Here is a 27,493-nt window from a genome sequence, read left to right on the forward strand (position 1 = left end):
AAGTTGAACAAATGAGTTTGAGGCTATGCATGTTCAAGTGTGGAGTATAGTAAAACTGTTATTTATTTGATCATATGCATGGCATAGTTTAAACAGTCAAATAAATAGTTCAAGATTTATTGTGAAAACAATCTGTACCCAACTCCTATCTTCCCCCAATTTGTTACCTTCCAGAGTTAAATTTTTCCATTTTTTCAGCTGTTTCTTTTTTGTATTTATCTCCCTATCATTAAATATTATGAATATACAGACCCTTGTTGGTTTTTCAGTTTTGAGCATTACTGAATTCATACTACAGGAACTGGAGCTGCAGCTCTTTTTCACCCTCTCCACCCACCACCCACCTCTCCACCCACCCTTTCCACCCACCAGTTAGGGAATCCTAGCATGCTTCCCTAATTATATCACCAGTTTGGTAAGATCATTATCTAGTGTTTACATTACCACAACACTGCTGAGCCATGCAATATGCTATAATTATATTTCCTTTACAGTACAACTTTTTGATTTCCTTGGAAACAGCAATTATCTTGTTTTCTCATTGCTTGCTTTTAATCAAGTATGTTTACCACTCTTAATCCTCAAGCTCTCCGCTAGTGTCTAAATCTTCCTTCACTTCATTTTCCTGGAGACTTTGATCTGCCCCACTCTGCCCTGGTTGCTCTCTGAGCATGCTGTCATCATGAAATCTCCCTTTATCACCATGGTAGTAATTCTTTTTACACATCTCTTATGTTAAATGTCCTGTTCCCTGGTTTCTTTGTCTGACACCTTGATTTACTCGTACATTTTGGAGGAACACATTCTCCAGGAACTCAGTGAGAGAAAGCTCATGGTAGGTAAATATTTTGTGTATTGTATATCTGAAAAGGCCTTTTATTCTACACTTGCCCTTGATTAATATTTGACTGATATGGAAATCTAAGTTGGATATTATTTTTCTTCAGAAGTTTGAGGGCATTGCTCTACTGTGTTATAGCTATTATATTAAACTTGAGAAATCCAGTGCTATTTTGATTTTTAATCCATTGTCTTTCCTTTTTCTTCTCTGGAAGCTTTTAGGACCTTTGACTTATCTTCAGTGTTCCTCTGTTTTTCAATAATGGATCTTAGTGTGGGACTCTATCTTTATTATATTGGACACCTGATGGACCCTTTCAGTCTGAACACTTGTGTCCTTTAATTCTGGAAAAGTTTTTGAATTACTATTTAGTAACCATTCTGGTTATTTTTACTACTGAATTGATCCTTTAATTATTCTATTTCCCCTTCTCCTCCCCAGTTTTTCATCTCTTTATTTTGTTCTACTTTCTGGGAAATTTCCTTGACTTTATCTTCCAGTCCTTTAGTTCTACCATTATATTTTTAATTTCCCAAAACTTTTGTTTGTATTTTCCAAAGATTCTCTCTTGTAAAAACGCATCCTAGTTATGTTTCATGGATACCATATCTTTTTAAACTTAGGTTTACTGAGGTATAATTTATACACAGTAAAACTCACTCCTGGTAGGTATACAGTTTGATAAGATTTGACCAACATATACAGTCATGTAACCACTATCACAATCAAGACTGAATATTTCCATCACCCCAAAGAGCTTTTGGCAGCCCTTTGTAGTCAAACCTCTCCCCTTATCCCCAGCCCCTGGCAACCACTCATCTGCTTTCTGCCCCCATAGTTTTGCATTTTCCAGAAAGTTATGTAAATGGAAGCATACAATATGTCACCTTTTGCTTCAAGCTTCTTTCACTCAGCATAATAATTTCGATATACATTCCTGGTGTTGCATGTATCAGTAGTTGTTCCTTTTACTGCTGAGTACAATTTTATTGTGTTGTCGATATACCACAATTTGTTTATCCATTAACTGGTTAATGAAAATTAGATTTCTTTTTCTTCTAGTTGTTGGCTATTATAAAGAAAGATACTGTGAACATTCGTGAACAAGTCTGTATGTTTTCATTTGTCTTGGGTAAACAGCTAGGAATGGGATTGCTGAGTCATATGATACGTGTATGTTTACCTTTATAAGAAACGGCCAAATCATTTTCCAAAATGCCTGTTCCATTTGCACCACTGGCAATGCATGAGGGCTCCAGTTTACCTGTATCTTCACCAATACTTGGTACTGTCAGTCTTTTCCATTTTAGCCATTCTACTCTATCTTGTTAATCTCTATTAGGATATTACTGATATATTTTAAAAAGTTTTCTTTTCCCTGTATAATTTTTGTTTCCTCCAGGTTTCTCTTTACTTTTTGTTTATTTTCACCTCATCTCAAATACATTCCTCAAAATTTTGGTGATCCTTGGCTTTCTGGCATATTTAAGAATGAGGCACTAAAAATCTGCTGGGAGCTCTGAGCCTGCTATGGGTCTTCTCCATGGGCCTTACTCTAAGGGCTTCTGGCTAGGCTGTTCTGTTCTTTCTTGTTGGGCTGATCATATTCCTCAGGAAAAGAACTTTCAGGTTCTTGCCTTAGCATTATCTGGCCTACAGGGAAGACAGCTTTGCTTTTTTTCCAAATAGTATGAGCAATGTTTCTGGGTTTCAGCCTCATTGCCTGGTTTATATTGTATGTCCATCTTTGAATCAATTGCTCTGGCTAGAAGATGGAGGACGCTGATTGCGCAGACATAGGTCACCTCCTTAGCCTTGGGGAGGTGGGATTTAGCCATACCCAGACCCCATGAACTGAGATGGGGAAGAGAGTTTTTCTCCAAACAAATCCCAAATGCTGTATCCAGAGGAAGAGGAAATGTGTGCTGGGCAGGCACAATCAAGAGATGTTCACTATTGGAGGATTGTGTGTTGTATTGGTGGAAAATAAGTGGAAAGCAATATCTTTCAGATATTTCAGCTAGGAGGATTACATGCTGTTCCACAGATGTGCCTTATGTTCTACCTCAGGCTCTGTTCCCTTGCTCATAATGTTCCTTCGATTTAGATGGGCTTCCCACTCTAAACCCAAACACTTGCCAACTTTATATTATTCCGTCAAGTTCCACCAGAAATGCTGCTTCTTCCTTGAAGCCTTATGTGTGGTTATTGCTTCTCTGAAGCCATTGGATATAATTATTTCATCAATGTGCATTGTTTAGTCTTACCACTGCAGTCATTCATTTGCAGCTTTGACTCATCCCACTACTAGATTACAAGCCCAGGAATGTAGAAACTATGTGCTTTGCATCCCTTCAATATGATCCCTTCATTTCCTAGCAGAGCAGCTCCATATTGCATACTCCATAATGTTCATTGAACTGGAAAATACTATTCCTTGGCATGTATTTTGGTAAAATGTGCTTGTTTTTATATGCTTCAGTGGTTTATAGTGTTTAATTATATACTTGGCAGAGTCCAAATGATTGCAGAGACAAAGAACATTGCTAGAGCCCTTTAATGCTTTTGCATATATTCAGCTAAAACTTTTAATACATGAAAAGCAACAGACAATGAATCATTATTATGTAGCTGATTTCTTTCTGGCAACCTTTTAGAAAAATTTCAGGTGAAAAAATTTATGGAACTAGATGACTGAATACATCTTCTGTATTCCTACCACAGTAACTGGCACATAGTAGATGCTCAATAAATAGTAGTTCAAGCAAATATTGTTCTATATTGTATCTTTAAAACGATTGTAAATTTATGTTTTTCTTCTGGGTTATTAAATGGTGTTTCCTGTACTATTCAGAACAAAATACTCTGGGGAGAAGGTTCTGCAAATATTTAATATTGCTGTGTATCTATTTTTAGTTATGGGACCTTATGTGAGAAAAGTTCTGTGTGATGAGCTGGGGGCCCCAGCCAATTCTGCAATAAACTGTGTTCCCCTGGAAGACTTTGGAGGGCAGCACCCTGACCCAAACCTGACATATGCAACGACTCTTCTGGAAGCAATGAAAGGAGGAGAATATGGATTTGGAGCTGCATTTGATGCTGATGGGGTAAGTAGGAAAGCTGTCTGTCTGCTGACCCTTTGATCATATAATGAGCCATGCACTGGAAAGCAGAGAATTAATGAACACATCTGGAGCTAACATGTATGGGACATGTGTGCCCTAACTGGCTCTGCATCTGCCCTTCTGTTTAATGACTAAGTATTGCAATTAAATAGCGATTACTTTTCTTAGTTCCAGATTTACGTTATGGCATACAAAGGTTGTTTATTTAAAAATATATATTATTCCATAAACCTTTATTTATGGCTGGTGTTGTTGAAAGCACCAAGTTAAGAAATCAGCTATTTCTGCAAGAACCAGTGTTCTCTATTATGTTTGGGAGAAAGAAAGAGTTAGGTATTTGGGGACTTCTAAAGCTTGAGCCACATTTCAACAGGTGGAACATATTCCTGGTGTGTCAAGATTCTGGGCCCTTGGTACTCAGAGATTTCGAAGAATGTTTCCCATGTTCTCTTTGGCCTCATTCAAGTTGTTAGATTGTTAAATATAAGATGGCAGTAAAGTGGATTGTGATGATTATGGGAATGGGCTGCTAGCAGATGCTTCTGTCCGATCATTTTTACGCATTCCTTCCTACAGGACCGTTATATGATCCTAGGCCAAAATGGCTTCTTTGTGAGCCCTTCTGACTCCCTGGCCATCATTGCTGCCAACCTCTCTTGCATTCCATATTTCCGTCAGATGGGGGTCCGCGGGTTTGGGAGGAGTATGCCAACCAGCATGGCCCTGGACAGGTAAGCAAGGATGTCACCGTGAAAAACTTTATGGTAGACCTTTGGCGTTGATGTCTCCTTTGTTGGTTGCTGGCGCTTATTCTCCCCTGCTCCATTTGGGAATGCGTTGAAAGCATGGGAACACGGTATAGTGTACTGGGTAGAAGCTGGAGAATCAGGTGGCCTGAGCTTAATTCTTGGTTCTGCCACTTACTAGCTGTGGGAATTTAGACTTATTTAGTCTCTGTGCCTCAGTTTTCTTATCTGTAAAATGTGGATAATAATAGTGGTATCTTTATATGGATTGTCATGAAGTACAAATGAGGTGCTTCATGTAGAACATTTAACATGGTGCCTGGTACATAGTAAATACTACATAAATGTTTAGCAACAGAACTTATTAACCTGAAAGTGTGTATGTATAAGTGAGGGAAAAAAAGCATGGGTTTTGAGGTCAGATTATATTATGTTCAAATGCTAACTTATAGCCTTATTAGCACTGTACAAATAGAAAAATGATACTTCATAGGTTTATTGTAAGAATGAAACGAGACAGTGCATGGAAAATACCCAACAAGAGATTCACTCAGTAGGGCTCTAACTAACCCTATTAGGTTTCATTCTTCTTGCTCTATCCATCCCTCTTGTCTATCACCCTATATTATAAAACATTGAATTTCAGAGTCTGACATGTTCAACCAGCACGTGTTATTATAGAAACAGTGTATGTGCCTGGTGGAAAGTTAGAAAACACAAATAAGAGAATGTAAATATCATATCCCCTACCTTGGGTTACCTATGTTAATAGAAAAACTTATATTCCTTACTGTATCTCTTTCTATACATATACATTATATGCATATAATTAAAATACATAATATAATATACATAATATATATACATATATAATTTATTTGCCTGTGATAATACCAAAGACATCAAAAAGCACATTGCTTGTAACCTGCTTTTTCTTTTCCATCAACAATTGCCAACTACCAATTAATAAATTTTGGCCGGGCGTGGCGACTCACACCTGTAATCCTAGAGCTTTGAGTGGCTGAGGTGGGAGGATCACTTGAGGCCAGGAATTCAAGACCAGCCTGGATAATAGAGCAAAACCCTGTCTCTACAAAAAATTTTCTTTAATCAACCAGGTGTAGTGGCATGTTCCTGTAGTCCCACACCAAATGTTGATTAGGATAGGAAGCAACCAGAACTTTCATACATTGCAAACAAAAGTGTAGAATGGAAGACAGTTTGGCAGTTTCTTGTAAAATGGAGCCTACAGCTGACCAACATTCCATTCCTAAATATTTACCCAAAAATAATGGAGATGTGTCCACAAAAGACCTGTATAATAATATACATAGTTGCATGATTCATAATGGCTAATAACTGGAAACAATACAAATGTCCATCAACAGGAGATTGCAAAAATAAATTGTGATATATTTATATATTTGTATACTACACAATAACAAGAAGGAATGAAATACTGACACATGCAGTGGGTATGGATGAATAAAAAAATATTAAATGATAAAAAGCCAGTAACAAACAAATACATAATATATAATTCCATTTCTGTGAAGTTTCAGAACAGGTAAACATATATGTGGCAATAGAAATTATTACAATGTTACTGTATGAGGGGTAGGAAGAAGGCACCGGGAAACATTCTGAGGTGACGGGAATGTTCTGTGTCTTAATCTGGGTGGTGGTTACATGGATGTACACACTTTTCAAAACTCATTGAATTGTACCCATAAGATGCATTTCACTGTATATAAATTTTACCTTATGAATGAATCAACACCATGAAAAAATAGCCACAAAATCCAGAAGATGAGATTCTATGGGACAAATTAGCTAGGTATGATGACGCATGCCTGTAATCCCAGCTACTTGGGAGGCTGAGGCAGAAAAATCGCTTGAACCCAGGAGACAGAGGTTGCAGTGAGCCGATACCATGCCATTGCACTCCAGCCTGGGCAACAAGAGAACAAGAGTGAAACTCTGTCTCAACAACAACAACAAAAAAATACTGAAGGGCCATAACACGTGGTTCTAAATGAGATACTACATTGGGCAAACCATTCAAAAAAGACATTCTGGAGACACTGAGGGAAAATTTCAGTATGATCTTAGTTTCAGATGACATAAAAATTATTTATTTGTTTATTTTAGAGAAAGGGTCTCACTCTGTTGCCCAGGCTGGAGTGCAGTGGTACGATCATAGTTCACTGTAACCTTCAACTGCTGGGCTCAAGCAATCCTCCCAACTCAGCCTCCTGAGTAGCTAGGACTACACATGCGCCATCATACCCAGTTAATTTTAAAAACATTTTTTGTAGAAATGAGATCTTGCTATGTTGCCTAGGCTGGTATCAAATTCCTGGCCTGAAGTGATCCCCCTGCTTCAGCCTCCCAAAGTGCTGGGATTATGGGTATGAGCCACTGAACCTGGCTACTTTTAATCTTCTTATTAGTATCTTTTAATGGGCAGAAGTTTTAAATTTTGATGAAGTCCAGTTTATTTTTCTTATAATTAATGGATTATATGATTATTATATATGTCTTTGTCAACTACAAGAAATTTTTGCTTCCTCCAAGGTCAGAGAGATATTTTCTCCATATTTTCTTCTAGAGTCATTGCAGTTTCAACTTTTACACTTATGTCTAGAATGATTTTGAATTAATTTTTGAGCACGGTATAAGGTAGGGGTCGAGGTTCACTTATTTCCCTTATCCAGTTTTTCCAATCCCATTTTTAAAAAAGAATTTTCTTTCCCCTGAATAGCCTTGGCACCATTATTAAAAATCTGTTGACCATATATATGTAGATCTCTTTCAGCATTCTCTATTCTATACCACTGATCCATTTGTTGATTCGTATGTAAATATTACACTGAAATTAGGTGAGCTTCCCAATATGTTTTTCTTCTTTGTCAAATTAAAGGGAAATTATATATTCTAGGTCCCCTGCATTTTATTTCATTTTAGAACCAACATCTCAATTTCTACCAAAGCCTACTGGGATTTTGATTGGGATTATGTTGAATCTATAGAGCCATTTGGGGAGAATAGTATTTTAATAATCTTGAATCTTCCATTCCATGAATGTGGTATATCTCTCTATTTAGGTTTTCTTTAATTTCTCTTACATGTATTTCATAATTTTTAATGTAGAGATCTTATACAATTTTTGTTAAATTTATTTCTGAGTATTTTCTTTATTTTGACGCTATTATGAATGTTTTATGAATTTAATTTTCCAATTATTTGCTGCTGGTGCTTTTTTGTAAATTGACCTTGTATTCTTCACTAGAGGGGAGAAGAATCACCTACCTTTTGGATGCCTCCCACTCTACTTGTCTCCCTGAGGTGATATGGACCTTAAGTCCACGATGGTGAACTAAACTCAGTTTAAAATTCTTGCCTAGCAGCACCAAAGAGTGGTATGTGATTCCATGTTTTCTCCCATTTACCTTTGCCTACACCCTTCCTTTAAAAAAAAAAAAGACTCCGTAGAATTGTAGGGAACAAAGCAAAAATGGGACCATTTCTAGAAATTGAGAACTCAGAGTCATATAGGATCCTGAGTGATATGTAGGGTATTTAATAATATGGGAGTATATTTAACCCTTCCACTTATACAGAATCTTATAATTTAGAAATAATTTGTAACATATCAACTCACTTGATCTTTGCAATAATTTTATGAGGTAATTGAGGTAGGTATTACTCTCCTCATATTAAAGATGTTGAACCAATGATCAGAGAGCTTAAGTGACTTGTACAAGGTCACACAGTGAATTAGAAATTGACTCAGGATTTGAAACTAGGTCTTCTGATAATAGGGTACTACTGTATCTGCCCAATAATTATAATTGGATCAAAAGGGTCCCTGATAAACCAGTTGAGAATATTGTCCCCTGTGGGCTAGCAAATAACTTTCCAAACCATGGCTAGGGGAGGCTGGTTTTATTCTGACAACAAAAACCATTTGTCCTTGTTTCTTGTGGAAATTTCCCAGTAGTTCTTGATTTCACTTTACCCCTCCTTCTCAATAAATCTCTGTTTCAGTCAGAAACCAGAGGCCTTGCTTAGAAATTTCACAAAGGACCTGTTCTGATATGTAAGTGACCATTTAAAAGGATTATTCATGCTTGCTGGTTGGGAATCAGAATTCTGTGGGGCTCTGACTTGGTGATTTGTTCTGGGTATTTGATCTGTTGTGTAGGTCCCAGGTGGATTCTCATGATGGACACTTTATAAGCTTCTTTCTTCCTAGGTAAAATCAATGCAGCTTCAAAATTTCGACCTTGACAGTGGTTTCCCATATAGCTTATTTTTTCTTTAATTAGTAAAATTATAGGAATGTGCCCATAAATGCCAGGCCCTGGAATAATAACAACTGAGGACACAGTTGAGATCCATTAAATGACACACTTGCCTAAACTCCTGGGATTCCAGAATAAGGGGAGGCCTGTACCCTTGAGGCTGATGAATTATTCAGACAAACTTTCATTGTTCACAGATAATTGTGGCTCCCCAAGGGAAGATTTTCAGTGTCTTTAATTTCTACTCTTACAGTGTCACTAAAACAAGGATTCCATTTAGCCCAGAATAATACAGTTTCAGCCTTGAAAATGGCATTCTTTTGGGGCTTTGTCATTCTGAATGTGTCTGATTTGTGGTTGCAGATGAATCTGTGTTGCTGAAACATTTTGGTTCAAATGATTTCAGAAGTAAAACACATTGAAAGTATGTTTGTGGCCTGAGGTCCGTCTCCACCCCATGTAGAGGTATTAAATAATCTTTTGTGTCATCATCCTTCCATAATATTTATGAAGCACCCATCTGTGCTTGGGGCTGTGCCGAATTCTGTGCAAAACAAGGCAAACACACACAGCCTGAAGCCCTATTCACTAGACATATTTACAGTCTCAAACATGGCTAGCATCCTTGAATACATCCCAAGAAGCCAGATCTAAAAAGTATGTTTTGACTATGAAAAAGGCCATCCAAGATCCATCACCCATAAACAGGGTGGTGAATGGATTAGTGCTCATCTACCCTCTATTTGCTCTTATGCCACCCCTATGGTTCACCATTTATCCACTCAAGAAATATTTATTAAGGACCTCCTATGTCCTAGACATGGTCCCCGTGGCAGTGCTTTCAGTCTAATGCGGAAGACAAAGAATAACAAGTAAGGGAAACATACAGAAACACAAATTGTAACACAGGCTAGTGGAAATGAACTTGGTGCAGTACTCATTGGTGGGCATCGAGCATCTTGCTTAGATAGGAGATCCAGGGAAGGACTCTTGGAGGAGATTAGGCATAGGACCAAAGATCAGAAACAGGTATCTGGACCTGACTGTGATGCTGGGATTAGAAATGACACCCACACATGTGAAAACACTTATTCCTCAGAAGGTAGTCTACAGCTATTTGTTGCCAATCCCCAATCTAAAATATGTACTATAGCTTTATCTTGAACATACTCAGCTGATCGTTGGAATCCAGACAGTGTTAATCCTGCAAGTATGCAAGTATCTACTGATCTCTGGTGATCTCGATTCTTACCACGTCCTTTAGATCTGTGCTGTTTCATCTCCCAGATCAGTCATGATGGATGACAGTGGTGGAAGAGATAGTGATGTGAGCTTATATGTAATTACTCAGTCTCCCATACATTGCTTCTGCTATAGAATGATGGGAATTATTTTGCTTTAGCAGATAAATATGTTCAAATGTAACCTATATTAACATAAAAGAAAAAAAGAAGAAAGCCCTTTATCCTGTAAGTTTTTGCCCTGAAACTCTGTATAGCTGATTCTGTTAGGATCAAGGCAGGAAAGAGATGGCACCCTCAAAAAGGTCTTACTAAAGAGAATTTAGTAATTGTAACTTAATAACCTGGTCTAAGGAACGGATGAGGTTAAGGAAACCAAAAAACACAAGAAGGAATGGGGAGGTACCTTAGCATCAGCAATAGCAGGAAGCTGTTAACACCCCTAGGACTAAGAAGGGTCCAGGGGAGAGGTCAGGGTGACCACAGCCTAGTGAGGTCTGGAGTTGTGAAAAGTGGGCTGTCAGACAAGAGCTGAACTTGGCAGGGGGGAGAAATGCCCCAACTTGTCTCTTCTCACCCTCCAACCTCCTGCTGGTGCCTCCTATAACCAAACTGCACTGGAAGCCAGAGGGCAGCCTATGGAGTTCTGCCTCCTGGGGAAGAGAACAGGGCATTTGATGAAGTGGGGACTTTGGGGTAGAAGGGGACAAAAAGCCACCAGCATAAATGGCACAATGGCCCATCTTTTTGCTTATTTCTACTTGCTTATCTCCTAGTCTCACCCTCTTCCCTCTTTTTTGGACCTCAGGCATAGAGAGTTGAGTTAATCATACTCATCGTTGAACAATCCTTTAATAATTGGTCTGATTGAAGGCTCATTTCTTATTACTTTAAAAATGATAATGCATTTCTTTTCTCTCTGTTTGACTGCCCCACCATAGACAACCACAAAAAATGTGTTTATTGGGTATTGTGTATATATTTTTTGCATATATTTTTACTTAATGTGACTAGTACTATATAAGAGATTGTATTTGATTTCTTACCTTTTTTTCCACTAAAGACCACACTTTAAGATCCTCTTGATGGCTGTACATCCATCTAGGTTGTTGCTTCAAACTGCTGCTTATTTGTCCATGAGTGCATCCATGATATTTTGCCCTTGATTCCCTCAGCAATGAACACTCAGACTGCTTCTCACTTCCTATCACAGTGAATACTGCTGCACAGGCACCCTGTGGATATGTGTGAGAATCTCTTCAACACGTGTATTCAGAAGCAGAATTATTGGGCCAGAGGGGGTGTCTATACTTAATTTAGTCAATTTTAACCAAATACTGTCAGATTGCACTCCAGAATGCCCATCTCTTGCCTGCTTCTCCAACCAGTCTCTAAATTCCTGCATCTTCAAATCCAGGCCAACACTTCATGTTGTCTAACTTTCTAATTTTTATCCAGTAGACTAGATAGAGAGTAACATACCATTGCAATTTTAATTTTTCATGTCTCACATTACTAATGAGCTTAAGCATCTCTTCATATGCTTGAGAAATTTGGGAGTTTCCTTTTCTATTAATTGCCTATTCCTGTCCTTTGACCATTTTTTTTTTTCTATTTAGGGTTCTTCTTTTTAGTCTGATGAATTTGCGGAAGTTCCTTGGATGATCTAGATACCAGACCCGTTGTCAGTTTTAGGCACTTCTAATTTTCATCTTTTATCTTTAGACAAAATTTTACTCCTGAGTTCGATAGCCAAATTGTTATCAGTAGACAGATCTGTTATAGACAACTCAAATTTAACATGTATAAATAGCAACTTTTCTAATTTTTCCTGAAAATTGTTTTTCCTGTGTTTAGTCTCTGCATGAGTCACCTATTATCTAAATAATAAACCTTGGAATAATCCCTCATTCCAGATGTACCACTAATCACTGGGTTTTGTTAGAAGGATCCCTTAAATGTTTTTAAATTGTTATTTCTTCTCCATTCCTACATTTCCTTTTCTACTTTATGTTCTCATTATCTTTTGCTTGGACTATTGTAATAGTCAATAAACTGTTCCCACTTCCTCTAGACTTCCTCTTCTTCATTTCCTCTTCTGTACTGTCCCAAGGGCAGTTGTTCTAAAGCAGAAAGTCACGCATTTTCTTCCCTTGTTTAAAATGGGTTAGTGGGCTTTGAATGCCTGCAGGAGATTCCGTCTCCTGATTATACAACATGCACAATCTCCTGATTATAGAACACGCATAATCTCCTGATTATGAACACTTCACTCCTGCAGACATTCTTATCCTGCACTCTAAACATGTCATGCTGCTTACAGTTTCCCAAATTTGATGCCCTCACATTTCTGTGCCTTTGCATGCACTTCTGTCCCTGAAATGTATTCCCTTTGCCCCACCTCATTCCACTTTGTTCTTCTTTATCTTTTATGGCTTGAGTCAAGCATCCCCTTCTCAGTAAGTCCTTTGATACCATGTTCCCTCCACCCCAACAGATATTTCAAAAAGTTAACTACTATGAGCTATCAACATGCTTCTTTTGACTTTTTTACAAAGAGACATCTGGTGATACTATCTGTTGATTGCAAAGAAAAATATACCTGACTAATAAGAAGAAAATGAATGGTGCATAATGACCCAATCTCCTTTGGATATAATAAAACTATGCCTGATTTGTGGTTTTCGTTTACATTTAGGTGAGTTTGTAATGAGTTGGATTTTTAGTAATGATATGTGGGTACTGACGCTCTTAGCAAATACAGCTTAATCAATGTGAGATGAAAGGAAGCAACTGCATTGTAGTTATTTCCTAGTCGATAATGAACTCCCCACAGCCTGAACTTAAGCGCAAGGTTGTTTATTCCTTGCCCTGGCAAATTGAATGAGGACTGGATTCATTACCAAGGCATTTACAAGACGCATAAGGTGGCCTTCCTTTATGGTTTGTGTGTTGACCTACTGGAAAGGATGCTGAGACTGGTTCAAGTCTGTAATTGTGTGTTTCTAAGAGTTGGTGTCTAATGGGAAAGTGATCTCAGGCCTGTAGTTGGTAAAAAGCATTTATGTATTAAACTGGCTAGAGTGAGAGGAATAAATTGTTAACACTTAAGACTATAAACTGTAGGAGATTTGGAGATAGTGGTTAAATCCTCTTGGAAATGCTGGATGCATCATCTTTTATTCAATTTTTCTGAGCCATCTTGGGTTTCTGCTATCTGAGTTAGTCAGAAAAACACTTAGATGAATGTTAAGTAACCCAAGTGCTAAAATATATAGTCGTCATCACTCTCCCATGAGAACTGAAAGACGAACCTTTTTTGGAAGTCAGCTCTCTTTTATCTGCTGTATTTGTGAGGACTCTTTGATACTCAGATTCTGTCTCGGGAAGGGCATTGTCGTTATTTAGGGTGTCCAGCAGCCTATTTTCAGCCCTCCCAACGATGTGGCCCTTCTTGGTCTAAACAAGTCACTTTGACCAGTGGTGGATGGATCCAATACTGAAAGAAGCTCCTTAGAATCGCCCTGTCTGATTAGGGATTCAAGGCTACTTTAAACTGGGGTTTCAATGCCATCCAGTCTCAGTGCCACCCAGTCTCGAACATGTGGCGTGCTGTTGTTCTCCAACGGGAACATTAACTTCATGGCCTGCCTTTGTAATCTCAATTTTGGTCTTCCGAGGCTACATTTGGTTAAATAACCTCTCTCTTTTATTCCTTGTGACTTAAAATACTTATTCAATTTAAAAATCAATCCCATTGATTACTGCAAAGAGGCATGAGGTATATGTTTTGAGCTGATAAAAATGTTCCATATCTTGATTACAGTGGTAGTTACACAGCTATATATATATATGTGTGTGTGTGTGTGTGTGTGTGTGTGTGTGTGTGTGTGTATATATTTGTCAAGGCTCATGAAACTGTACACTTAGAAGTGATGAATTTTGGCTGGGCGCGGTGGCTCACGCCTGTAATCCCAGCACTTTGGGAGGCTGAGGCAGGAGGATCACTTGAGGTCAGGAGTTCAAGACCAGCCTGGCTAACATGGCGAAGCCCCTGTCTCTACTAAAAATGCAAAAATTAGCTGGGTGTGGTGGCGCAGGCTTGTAATCCCAGCTACTTGGGAGGCTGAGGCATGAGAATCGCTTAAACCTGGGAGGCAGAGCTTGCAGTGAGCTGAGATCCTGCCACTGCACTCCAGCCTGGGTGACAGAGTGAGACTCCTTCTCAAAAAAATAAAAAAAGAAGTAATGAATTTTATTTTATATAAACTATACCTTGATAAAGGTGATAAAAATAATCAAACTCTATTTATTTAAAAATAAAACAAAGCATCTCTCTTGGAACTTCTTTTCTGACTAGGGGCAAGAATCATTGCTCTCTTTGAATGACTCTAGTTCCCAGCATAGAGGTTTGTATTTACTAGACCACCAATAAACATTGGTTAGGTTCAGGTGAGTTGAATTGTCTCTGGAATCACTGTTTACTGCTTTCCTTTTTGTTTGAACCAGGACATAAATATATAGCCTGCAATCTTGTCTTTGGAAAAGACATAACTTACAGAGTTGGAGGTTTTCAGATATCAGTCATCAGTCAAATTTATTGGTGATATAAAAGATATAAGGAAGGTAGTTTAGCCCAGCCTAACTCTCAATCATATGCTTTGTGAAGCCACCAGAGAAGTTTGGTGCTTGACAACGTTTTAAAATGAAGGAGGATAATGTTAAGTCATCTTAGGCCTGAAGGTACTTCTGGAGTGAAAGAGCATTGCAGTTCTTGTGTGTGCTTTATATTTCAAAATGTATTTTGTAGCTCTCCCCACCAAAAAAGTCTTAAAATGGATTTCAGCTTCAACTTTCTAGGGTAGTGTTGAGCTGGGTCTATTGAAATACTGCTTAAATGCTTGCTAAATATCACTGATTTCACTTTACCTGTCATGCTGAGGGAAAGATAGTATCTAAGATACATGTGCAGGGTGAATCAAGATGCTGCCTGAAAGTTTTGTGTGCTCAGGAAAGCATTTTTATTTACAAGTGAACTCTATTACAGCAGAGATCCCCAACCCCAGGCCACATAGCAGGTGAGTGAGCATTACTGCATGAGTGCCACCTCCTGTCAGATCGGTGGCAGCATTAGATTCTCATAGGAGAGCAAATCCTACTGTGAACTGTGCATGTGAGGAGTCTAGGTTGCATGCTCCTTGCGAGAATCTAATGCCTGATGATCTGTCACTGTCTCCCATCATCTCCAGATGGGAACCATCTAGTTTCAGGAAAACAAGCTCAGGACTCCCACTGATTCTACATTATGGTGTGTTGTATAATTATTTCAGTATATATTACAGAGTAATAATAATAGAAATAAAGTGCACAATAAATGGAATGTTCTCGAATCATCCCCAAATCATCCTCCTCCCCCAGTCTGTGGAAAAATTGTCTTCCACAAAACCGGTCCCTGGTGCCAAAAAGGTTGGGGACCACTATGTTATATAGTATGTTGTTTGATTGTCATACAAACCTTCAGAAGTATTTGAGGCAGGCACTATTATTGACATTGTATTTACAGAAAAATATGATGATGAGATGTTAAGTAATTGCCCAAGGTCACACAGAATAAATTAGTCAATATTGGTACCAGATTATCTGGCTCAAGCCTCATAATCTCTTCACTATTCCTTATTTGTGAGGGCAGGAAAAGTTCTGATTATACTCCGAGTGAAAGTCATTCGTGTGGGTTGGTGTGGGGGTAGGGGTGGGGGTAGGGAGAGAGACCTGTATTACCCCCAAGGTGGTAGATGACATCAGATAAGCAGAATTAATTTCAACCCAATACATCTGTAATTTTGACGTTGAATATCACTACTGTTTAGTAAAACTCTGAAAGAAGCAGTCCTGGCTTTAACTTAAGACTTCCAGGAAAATGTTGACCGTAGTTCAAGGTAAGGTTGGAAATTTACATCTTTGCCTCAGGATCTGCTTGAAGATCATCAGCAGCAGCTGCACTAAAAAGTATTTATTAGGCTTCGGCAGCTTTTCTCCCTTATATTCTGGGTAAAGTGGGTTAAGCAGGTATGATTCCTTCTAGAGGTTGTTTTGTTTTGTTTTGTTTTGGAGATGAAGTCTTGCTGTGTTGCCCAGGCTGGAGTGCAGTGGTGCAGTCTCGGCTCACTGCAACCTCTGCCTCCTGGGTTGAAGCAATTCTCATGCCTCAGCCTCCCGAGCAGCTGGGATTACAGGCATGTGACACAATGCCTGGCTAATTTTTTTGTATTTTTACTAGAGACAGGGTTTTGCCATGTTGGCCAGGCTGGTTTTTAACTCCTGGCCTCAAGTGATCCACCCACCTTGGCTTCCCAAAGTGCTGGGATTAGAGGTGTGAGCTACTGCGCCCAGCCTAAGTTTTAAATCTGAGATAGACAACACTGATGACCAGAAACATAAAAGATATCAATTAAGTACAATGAGATCCTCTAGTAAATAATATGTTAGCAATTGGATATGAGATGCCCGAGCCTAGGAAAAAATGAAAACAAATCTTGTCAGCCCTATCTATATGCCCTACACAGGTGAGGGTGGAATCCAGACCTGGGAATCCAGTCATCTCATCTCTGATCAGGTTGCTGCCTGACGATTAAATTTGTCATTTGGAGTTCCAAGTTCTTTTAGAGTCCCTGATGGCATTGGTGGTTTATATTCTGGCATGAGGGAAAACTCCTTGTAAGTTGATGCCTGTATTTAAGAATGCAAGATCCACCAGGACTCACAGAGAGATCATATCACTTGGGATCTTTGTGCAGCAAATTAGAGAAAACTAGCTGAAATGGGGCCTAAATAGCAAAAGGAATGTGTTGGCCCACATAACTGAAGTAGATTGGCCTCAGGTGAACCGTGATCCAGCAGCTCACATGATACTACCATTTGACCTGGTATTCCCTCTTGTCTGCTTTGCCTTAGATGGTATCACTCTTATCCCTAGGCTCTGAGCCTCTGACTTTCTGGTCCAGGTAGCAAGTGTCTGCAGGATTTCTAGACCCCATGCTCTTACACCAGCTTGTCTATGAAGATGGAAGACAAAGCTTTTCTTTCCAAGAAGAAACTGAAAACATCAACTCAAGTCTTGACTTTGGTTGGGGTTTGTACTTTCACTGACTCATTGATTCTCTGGGACTATAGAAGATGGGATAGACTGACAGTCTTAAGCCTCCTTCCCCTCATTAGGTAGAGCTAGGAGGAGGGTCATTCCTTCCCAAACTAAATGACTAAGAATGCATACATTTGTCCTCCAAAGCAAGATCTTTCTTTTTTCCTTCCAGAAAGAGTAACTGCAGTAATTAGGACCCAATTGATGGCAAAGGGGTATGATCTAGGTGAGTCCATTGGGGTGCAGTTCTGGAGGGGGAATTCAGGACCTTCTTCTTACCTCCTCCTACCCCTGCAAATAGTCTGAGACTCACTAATAACTGACAGTGGTATTCAAATTGGAACAGTGGTTCTTGCCTCTGACCTTTGCATGTGCTCAAGTAGCCATCTGTCCTTCTTTCTCATCCTCTCCTCTTTATTCCTTTCTTCCTTCTTCCCACCCTTTCCCTCCATCTCTATTCCTCCCTCCTTCCCTTCGCTTCTCCTTCCCTTCTCCCTCCTTCCTTCCTTCCTTCTTTTCTTATCTTCCCTTCCTCCCCACCTTGCCTACCTCTCACATTTCCATTTTCCAAAAACCTTTTTTAGCCCCTTTTGTGTGCCAAGCACACTGCATGGTACTGGATATTCCTGATGGAGCTCATCTTCCCTTCCATGTTCCCTTTTCCTTTAGCAAACTTCACTGCCAACAAAATGTGTTAATATTCTCTGTGTAAGGTGTTCTGCTAGATTCAGGGAGGTCCGTGGCTTCAGCGTGAATCTCAAGGATAGAGCTGGGGAGTGTTTTTAAATCATGATGACATTGTTCATAAAGATTGTCTCACACAGATTCTACTACCTATATTTTGGGGTGGGAGGGAGAGACAGGGAATGTAGTTTAAGAAAAGCAAGCATTTATGTCTGCCAGTGTACTCAAATGAGCTCATGTACGAAGTGGGACATGGAACTCGCTGACCTTTATTGGCCTCTGCATTCAGACTACCTGGGGTTGAATTCTAACTCCTCTGCCTTCTGACTTTATGACCTTGGGCTGTTTACCTAACTTCTCAGGGTGTCTTAGTCTATTTTTGGTTTCTTATAACAGAATACCTGAAACTTGGTAATTTATGAAGAAAAGGAATTCATTTCTTACAGTTATGGAGGCTGAGAAGTCCAAGGTCCAGGGGCATAACAGGTGAGAGCCTTCTTACTGTCGAGGACTCTGCAGAGTCCCAAGGTAGCACAGGGGGTGAGGGGGCTGAGCATGCTAGCTCAGGTCTCTCTTCCTCCTCTTATAAAGCCACCAGACCCACTCCCATGGTAACTCATTAATCCACTAATCCATGAATGAGTTAATCCATTCATGAGGTCAGAGTCCTCATGACCCAATCCCTTCTTAAAGCCCCCACCTCTCGATACTGCCACACTAGGGATGAAGTTTCAACAGAAATTTTGAAGGGGATAAACATTCAAACCATAGCACAGGGTCTTGTACTGAGGATTAAATTAGGTATATATATATATATATGTATATATATATATATATATATATATATATATATATATATATATATATGTATATAGTGCTTACAGCAGTGCCAGTCCACAGTATGCGTTCAATGAAGTTAGCTATTATTGTCATGGCGATGGGGCTTTATGGATAAGAGAGTGAAGCATAGGCAGTGGATTCTCATGAGTAGTCTCCCGTGCTTCCACATTAAGGACTAAATGTTGGCCAGTGGCTGTGCTCAGGCCCCGTCTTCCACATGTGGATACTAGTGAGGCAGGGGTGCTTTCTTGCTGTGTATATTCACATTTCAGAGTCCATCAGAGCTTCCAGAGGACTCTGCTGTGTGAACCTCACATATCTCTATTTTATAGTTTTTCAGATTACTTTGTAAATAATTATTGTTAATTTTCTTTAGCTTTTTAAAAATATGTATTCATATATTGAGCCTTTCAGTTAGTGACCTAGGAATAGACGTACGTTTTTTTGGGGTGGGGAAGGGGTCTGTCTGTTGCCTAGGCTGGAGGGCAGTGGCACAATCACAGCTCACTACAATGAACTTCCAGGCTCAAGTGATCCTCCCACCTCAGCCTCCCAAGTAGCTGGGAACACAGACATGCACCACCCTACCTGGCTAATTTTTTATTTTTATTTTTTGTAGAGACAAGGTCTCACTACGCTGCCTAGGCTCGTCTCAAACTCCTGGACTCAAGCAATCCTCCTGCCTCGGCCTCTCAAAGTGCTGGGATTATAGGCGTGAGCCACCATGCCCAGCCCCTATTGCCTTTTGATCCGTACTTTTTGATTAATATCCTCTAAAACACATGAAAATTCACTGTTCCCTCTGTTAGGTGCTCCCATAGAACACATATAGGACCCTAGAAGTCCCATCTCTTTAGAAAAATTATCTTTCTGGGAAAATACAGAGTTTCTTTTATAACACATCTGTGTCTCTGTATGCTGGCCAAAAGCCTCAAACCCCCAAACAGACCTGAAATGTTTATCCCTACCACTACTTCTGATAATAGGGGTTTGACTTTGTATTGCCCACACATCCCATTAAAACATATAATGTGATTTGTGTGCATATTGTGAGCATTTGTTCATTTTATAACCTGTTTAGTAGTTCAGCCAAAAGCAGCAAAAGTGAAATAAGAGAAACATCCTGAGCAAAAGAATTGCTCTTTGATATACCTGTGCACTGGCATGAGAGGACAGAGGAGAGATTTGTGAAAGTGGACTCCTTTGTTACTAATATAACACCGGCTACTTTCTTTAACAATTAACATCTCAACCCCAATTTATCATTATTATGGCTGTTTTTTTGCTTTCATAATGACTTCAGAAAAATTCATAACATCACCTGGAGTCCCTTTATCTGCAAAGCCATTAGTCAATTTCACTGGTACTCTAGGGAGAGACTTGGGAAGTGAAAGGTGGACATTTCCCCCCAGATGGGGTTTCTTTACATGACTCTTATCAAATCAGGTGGGTGTTAGGAGCCTGAGAAATGTGAGCGTGAAGAAATGTGAAATGTGAGATTTGGATAAGGTCGTTTGGATTTAAAGAGGAAATTTCCATCAAGGGCCAACTCCTAGAGGAGATCACAGAGCAGAGGCTGGGGTGTGGCTGCAGGTAGGCATGCCATTGAGCCAAGGTGGGCTGACTCGAGGAAGAGCTCAAGCAGATGCTTTAGAACAAAGCATAAATGTCTTCTTTTGAGAAGTGTCTGTTCATGTCCTTCACCCACTTTTTGATGGGGTTGTTTGTTTTTTTCTTGTAAATTTGTTTGAGTTCATTGTAGACTCTGGATATTAGCCCTTTGTCAGATGAGTAGGTTGCGAAAATTTTCTCCCATTTTGTAAGTTGCCTGTTCACTCTGATGGTAGTTTCTTTTGCTGTGCAGAAGCTCTTTAGTTGAATTAGATCCCATTTGTCAATTTTGGCTTTTCTTGCCATTGCTTTTGGTGTTTTAGACATGAAGTCCTTGCCCATGCCTATGTCCTGAATGGTAATGCCTAGGTTTTCTTCTAGGGTTTTTATGGTTTTAGGTCGAACGTTTAAGTCTTTAATCCATCTTGAATTGATTTTTGTATAAGGTGTAAGGAAGGGATCCAGTTTCAGCTTTCTACATATGACTAGCCAGTTTTCCCAGCACCATTTATTAAATAGGGAATCCTTTCCCCATCGCTTTTTTTTTCTCAGGTTTGTCAAAGATCAGATAGTTGTAGACATGCGGCATTATTTCTGAGGGCTCTGTTCTGTTCCATTGATCTATATCTCTGTTTTGGTACCAGTACCATGCTGTTTTGGTTACTGTAGGCTTGTAGTATAGTTTGAAGTCAGGTAGTGTGATGCCTCCAGCTTTGTTCTTTTGGCTTAGGATTGACTTGGCGATGCGGGCTCTTTTTTGGTTCCATATGAACTTTAAAGTAGACATTTATGCAGCCAAAAAACACATGAAAAAATGCTCATCATCACTGGCCATCAGAGAAATGCAAATCAAAACCACAATGAGATACCATCTCACACCAGTTAGAATGGCAATCATTAAAAAGTCAGGAAACAACAGGTGCTGGAGAGGATGTGGAGAAATAGGAACACTTTTACACTGTTGGTGGGACTGTAAACTAGTTCAACCATTGTGGAAGTCAGTGTGGCGATTCCTCAGGGATCTAGAACTAGAAATACCATTTGACCCAGCCATCCCATTACTGGGTATATACCCAAAGAACTATAAATCATGCTGCTATAAAGACACATGCACACGTATGTTTATTGCGGCATTATTCACAATAGCAAAGACTTGGAACCAACCCAAATGTCCAACAATGATAGACTGGATTAAGAAAATGTGGCACATATACACCATGGAATACTATGCAGCCATAAAAAATGATGAGTTCATGACCTTTGTAGGGACATGGATGAAATTGGAAATCATCATTCTCAGTAAACTATCGCAAGAACAAAAAACCAAACACCGCATGTTCTCACTCATAGGTGGGAATTGAACAATGAGAACACATGGACACAGGAAGGGGAACATCACACTCTGGGGACTGTTGTGGGGTGGGGGGAGGGGGGAGGGATAGCATTGGGAGATATACCTAATGCTAGATGACGAGTTAGTGGGTGCAGCCCACCAGCATGGCACATGTATACATATGTAACTAACCTGCACAATGTGCATATGTACCCTAAAACTTAAAGTATAAAAAAAAAAAAAAAAGAACAAAGCAAAAAAATGTGAGTGTGTGACTGAGGTGGTACATCTGACTTCGCCATTGATTCTCATCACTTCTCAGGGCCTCGCTTTCCCCATCTAGAAGGGCTGGGATAGTGGCTGTTCTGCAAAGAGCCCCCAGGGGCCACATTGCGTCTAGCTCATAGCTCTGCCTCCCTAGTAGGATGCAGCCCTTGTCCTCAGGGTTCCAGGCAGTGGGAGCTCCGGCCACCATGCCCATATTTAGGCAGCAACTAGAGAGAGGATGAAGAAGAAGGGCAAAGGACTACACTATCTTTTAAGGAGATTCATGGAAGTGGATAGTTGACACTTTTGCATATATCCTATAGGCCAGGACTTAATGATGTGGCCACACATAGCTCCAAGGGAAGTTGTGAAATGGGAGTCTTCATTCTGAATGGCCACGAGCATGGCTAAAAATGAGGGGTTGTCTTATTAAGATAGAAGGGGATGAGAGTTATAGAGGGACAACTAGCTGTCTGTACTGTGGGTTTAGATGATGTCCTAAACATTCAGTGTAGAATATTGCAGTCTTCAAAGATGTAAAATATCTTTAATATTTGATCGTTAATTTTTTTCTTTAGACTAAATAATTTAGGATGCTGACATAAACTATCATGATGATATTTTTGATGATGGTGATGAGGATGATGATGAGGAGGAGGAGGAGGAGGAGGAGAGGAGGAATATCTACCAGAGAAAATACTCCAGGGTGTAGGATATGACAATTTACAACCCAATAAGAAAAGTATTTTTCCCATTTTACAAATAAGTAAATTGATGCTCAGAGTGGGCAAACCTCTGAGGCCAAACCAGGTCTTACCTATGGAGTCATGATATAGCCACAAAGATTGGGAACAAGGTTTTTGGGAAGCAATGTGGCTCTCTGTTGCAAGTAACAAAAACTGAATTCCAAATGACATAAACAACAAGGAAAAAGTTACATCTCGTATTAAAATGTCTAGAAAGGGCAGCAGCAGAGGTGGGTAATTCATTGCCTCAGCAATGTCTTCAAGGAACCAGGTTCTATCATTCTCAGGATGTGGTCTTTGACCTTGATGAGATTTCCTCATGGAAAGGCCCCAGCAGTGCAAGCTATTACCCTCACATACGATGTGGTCTTATGGCAGAAAAAAGACTGCCTACTGTTTATGTGTCTTTTTAAAGTCAGGGAAACTTTTCCAGAAGTCCTCCTGTGCCATATTTGTCCTATTTTGTGTAAATTCACCTTTGCTGAGGACTAGGTACCTGAATAAAGTCATGATTCTCTTAATATGAAAAGCAGTGGGAATGATTTTGGGTAGGCAACTGTCAACACCTCTAATTCATTCATAGGTTATTTGCCCATTAGCCGGGTGTGCCTGTAGTCCCAACTACCCCAGAGGCTGAGGCTGGAGGATTGCTTGAGCCCAGGAGTTCAAGACCACCCTGGGCAACATAGAGACATACAGCGACCCTATCTCTTTAAAAAGTATATATAAATATATATATACACACACATATATACACACATACATGTGTGTATATATATACACATATATGTAGTGTGTGTATTAAATATATAATGTGTGTGTGTGTGTGTGTGTATATATATATATATGATTTTCCCAATATTTAAGGACAATCTAGAATTCTAGAATTATGGATATTTCCCTGAAAATGTCATTACTTTTGGATGTCCCTTGCTTATTACAACTTACTCACTTGCTTATCAATAAACATTTATTGAAAACCTTCTCTGGGTCAGATAGTGTACGAATAATGAAATTCATGCTTACTGTCAAAAAACATTTTATGATTTAGTGACAGAGTCAGATATCCTCAGCAACATTTACAAAACAATGCATGGAATGCCACAATAGAGGCAATGAGGATGCTTAGAGGAAACCACTTATATTGGCCTGGGGAATCGGAACTTGTGGCTGTAATAAAGCTTTCTTCTCTTAGATTATGAATGTTGCTCATGGGGAGCACTTAAATGAGCTCCCTGAGAACAGGGACCACAACTTCTTTGTTTTTATTTTTTAGTCTGAGTGTAGTGCTTTGACTATAGTAGTTGATCAATGTGGTGAGCAGAAAAGGTAGCTTCCCTACATTACAGCTAGTAGTGGTGTTTGCTGGACTTCAGCAGGTCTTTGTAAATTCAAAGCCCAGGCTCTCTAACACCATACATAGCACTTTGTTACTCACAATGAATGGTTTGCTACAGAATGCTTTCTCTTTTCTAATCTGCTTCTTGTCTGATTGTCATGCAAACTTGAATGGGATAATAAATGTAAAGTAATTAGCATAGAAGAAGCACTCAGTGACTATTACCTGCTATTATTACTTTATAATGTAGTCTGCATTATTTTTCTTCCTTTATTTAAATCTTCAACTTTGCTGAATTGCTTATTGAAGAAAATGCTGTCTCTAAACATAACATTACTGGCAGCTGAAAGTGAACCTTACACATGATGCTTCATGGTATCTGAGAGTCATGAAGTTTACAAAGACATTTCTGGTCTTATTCTGATAAATATCACATGCTAATATTTCCTACATTCCCATTTACTCAGTGTTCCCTACTTCCTAAATGAGGGAAAAGCACTGTCGAACAGTTGTCAAATTTTCTTCACAAGCAGCTTGGTTTTCCTTAATGGATGAAATCACCCTTCGTTGATGGATCCATCTGCACAGGAATTTCTAGATCATCTCAGGGCTCACACTCTGGGTCCCACCTCCTGCTCTGCTACAAACGGTTAGGTATCTTTATGCATCAGTATCCAGCTGGCCATAGCGGCCCTGTGTCAGAAATTATATTTCCTCTAATTGGCTAAAGGGACCATTTTCTTAACAGTTTCTTTCTTTTATAGGGCCATGTGCTATGTTCCATTTATATACACATTCTGGAACACAGTATTCCAGAGCATGTTAATTGTTTAGAGATAATGGACCTAATAAATAGAATGGTGCGGTTAAGGAGAAATCCAGTTGCATGGAGGTCCTTGGTCTTTTGTGTGGCTTGAAGAGGTTGAGGATGCTGATGTGTTCTTTGGGAAGAGATTCACAGTTGACAGGAAACATCTGCTTTAATTTGCTCCAACATCAACAAGATTGATGTGGTAGGAAACCTGTTGTTACTGTGTGAGTTCCATTTATCAAGGCAGGGCTTGGCCCGAAATCAGGGCTATTTGGACAGGTACCACAATGGGTCAAAATATGGACATAACAAAGCAGCATTACTTGAGAGTATCATGTGGCTGTTTCTCTATTTAAAGGGAGTCATGTTCCTTCTATACCTGTCTGGCTATCTTCATTTCTTTCTATGTCTTTCTCTTTATGTTTTTCTTTCTCAGCACATTTCCATTCAGGGCCTCAATTACGAGTGTAACAGTTCTCACCCTAAATTCTGCCTCCATATCCTCTCTCCTGGGTAAGAAAGGCTCCCAGTGATGGTGACTCTCAATGGAGGGAAATTCTCCCCAAGGGTTTCCCAAATATTTTCAGAAACAGCTATGCAAACACACAGACTCACACACGCAAGTACTCACCAAACCTTGGAGATTATCCACTACCCCTAAGGTATACCTGCCTTTTCTGGCTAACTTTCAGAATCACTTACCTAGAATTAATTAAAGATGCTCTTACCTTCAGGAAAACTGCCTTGGTTTTCATTATTTGGAAAAGTAAAGTTTGTATCTGACACTTAAAATATGCCTCTGGAGAACTCAAAGAATTCAAAGCATTCTTATATCAGTGCATCTGTGATACTAATCTTTTAGAAAATTATTACACTGCTAATAAAATGTGAAGTGTGGATTCATGCCACTGAGCTTAGGTTATTGCCTCCACTATTTTTGAAATGCTAGTGCCCATGATGTCCTGATGCAGGAACTCATCTCTTAACAAAACAACACAGCCATATACAGAAAAAATAAGGTCCTTTTTCACCCATTCTGGTGTAGGGTAGATCAATCAATTAAAAGAAATTGCAAAGGCTATATGCTATGGTTTGGGTGTTTGTCCTCTCCAAACCTCATGTTGAAATATGATTCCCAGTATTGAAGGTGGGGCCTAATGGGAGGTGTTTGGATCATGAGATGAGGACAGATCCCTCATGAATAAATTAATTGTGTCTCTTGGAGGTGAGTTCTTACTCAGTTCCCATGAGAGCTGGTTGTCACAAAGAGCTGGTATCTCCCCACCTTCTTGCTTCCTCTCTCTCCATGTGATCTCTGCACATGCCAGCTCTCCTTCACCTTCTACCATGAGTGGACACAGCCTGAGGGCCTCACCAGAAGCTGAGCAGATGCTGGCACCAGGCTTCCCGTATAGCCCGCAGAACCATGAGCTAAATAGACCTCTTTTCTTAATAAATTACCCAGCCTCAGGTATTCCTTTATAGCCACACAAAATGGACTAAGACACCCTATCACTGGAGTCCACTCAGACTACCAGGTGAGATAAATCCAGGAGCTTCCAGGTTCTTTGTTCTTGATTCTGGCAATGGGTTCAAATAAAAGACAATGAAAGGATATGCTATTGGCTACTTTGTCATTTCATCTTCCTGCTTCCTACCTAATGACCTGAATGCACATGTGCTCCCGCTGTCAGTCTCCCCACTGTGAACAACCCTCCTTTCTCTTTACGAACCTCCTCTGCCCTGGGCAGGCTGGTGACCACACTGCTCTGGGCCAGATACTGTGCCCAGTACAGAGAGGAGGTGCACGAGGAAATGATAAGGCACATCTCTGCTTTGGAGAATCTCATTGCCCAAGAAGACATATAGACAAGTAAACCAGTTACAGAAATAATGGTTAAGGTACACTGGTGGTACGAAGAAGGGACGAATCAGTTTTGCCTAAGATTGGAGGATGCTGGGCAAAAAAGGCTTCAGAGAAGAGGAGGTATTTGAAGAGTGCATTGAAGGTTGAATAGAAGGTTTAGAGAATCAGAATTTGCCTAGTGTACAGAAAGAAAAATTGAAAGGCAGTGGACGGCCATCAGTAGAAGGGTGTGAGGCACAAGTTATTGAGGTACATGAAGAGACTGACAGTCATGATCATTATGAAGCATTAGTTGAAGGGTCACTGAGGTACACATAAGTATACCAATGGTAATGCTGCTGGAAGAGTAGCCAGGGGACTGGGGAAAAGAAGGCACCATGTTATGTGCTGGGACCTCATTCATTCTTCATGTCATAAGGAGCCAATTCTTCTCTGGACTTTTCCACATTCCATGCAAAGTCTGTCTGGCTTCCTGTCCATTTACTTTCTGGTCATTCAAGGCCTACCACTGTCCGGTGTCCAGTTGCTCCTCATATGCAGATGAAAAACCTGGGCCAGGTCAAAGTCTGAAGACCTAGAGAACTGGGCAGAGCTCTG

General features: G+C 39.7%; 1 protein-coding gene and 1 long non-coding RNA gene across 9 annotated transcripts in view; one reads left to right on the forward strand and one right to left on the reverse strand.

Moving 5' to 3' along the window:
• PGM5 (phosphoglucomutase 5) overlaps positions 1-27,493 on the forward strand; it is a 174,451-nt gene that overhangs the window by 31,166 nt on the left and 115,792 nt on the right. For 3 of the 5 annotated variants that reach the window (NM_021965.4, XM_047423473.1, XM_011518783.4), the window contains exons 5-6: positions 3,758-3,948; positions 4,543-4,697. In NM_021965.4, coding sequence (NP_068800.2) covers positions 3,758-3,948; positions 4,543-4,697 — 346 coding nt within the window. Of the gene's footprint in view, positions 1-3,757; positions 3,949-4,542; positions 4,698-17,570; positions 18,694-27,493 lie in introns of those variants that run through there. The other 2 variants (XM_024447573.2, XM_011518782.4) reach the window with 2 other exon arrangements.
• On the reverse strand, positions 6,624-18,614 carry LOC105376070 (uncharacterized). Of its 4 annotated transcripts, none has more exons than XR_929898.3 (3): positions 11,307-12,224; positions 10,272-10,445; positions 6,624-6,663 (listed from the first exon to the last, which is right to left on the reverse strand). It is a non-coding gene; the product is annotated as an uncharacterized LOC105376070 (long non-coding RNA). The 4 variants fall into 4 exon arrangements; XR_007061563.1 differs by lacking the exon at positions 6,624-6,663 and adding an exon at positions 18,527-18,614 and having other exon boundaries at positions 7,920-10,445; positions 11,307-11,495; XR_929899.3 differs by lacking the exon at positions 6,624-6,663 and adding an exon at positions 7,920-8,966.

This window comes from Homo sapiens, chromosome 9, assembly GCF_000001405.40.
Source record: "Homo sapiens chromosome 9, GRCh38.p14 Primary Assembly".
Classification (NCBI taxonomy): Eukaryota; Metazoa; Chordata; class Mammalia; order Primates; family Hominidae; genus Homo; species Homo sapiens.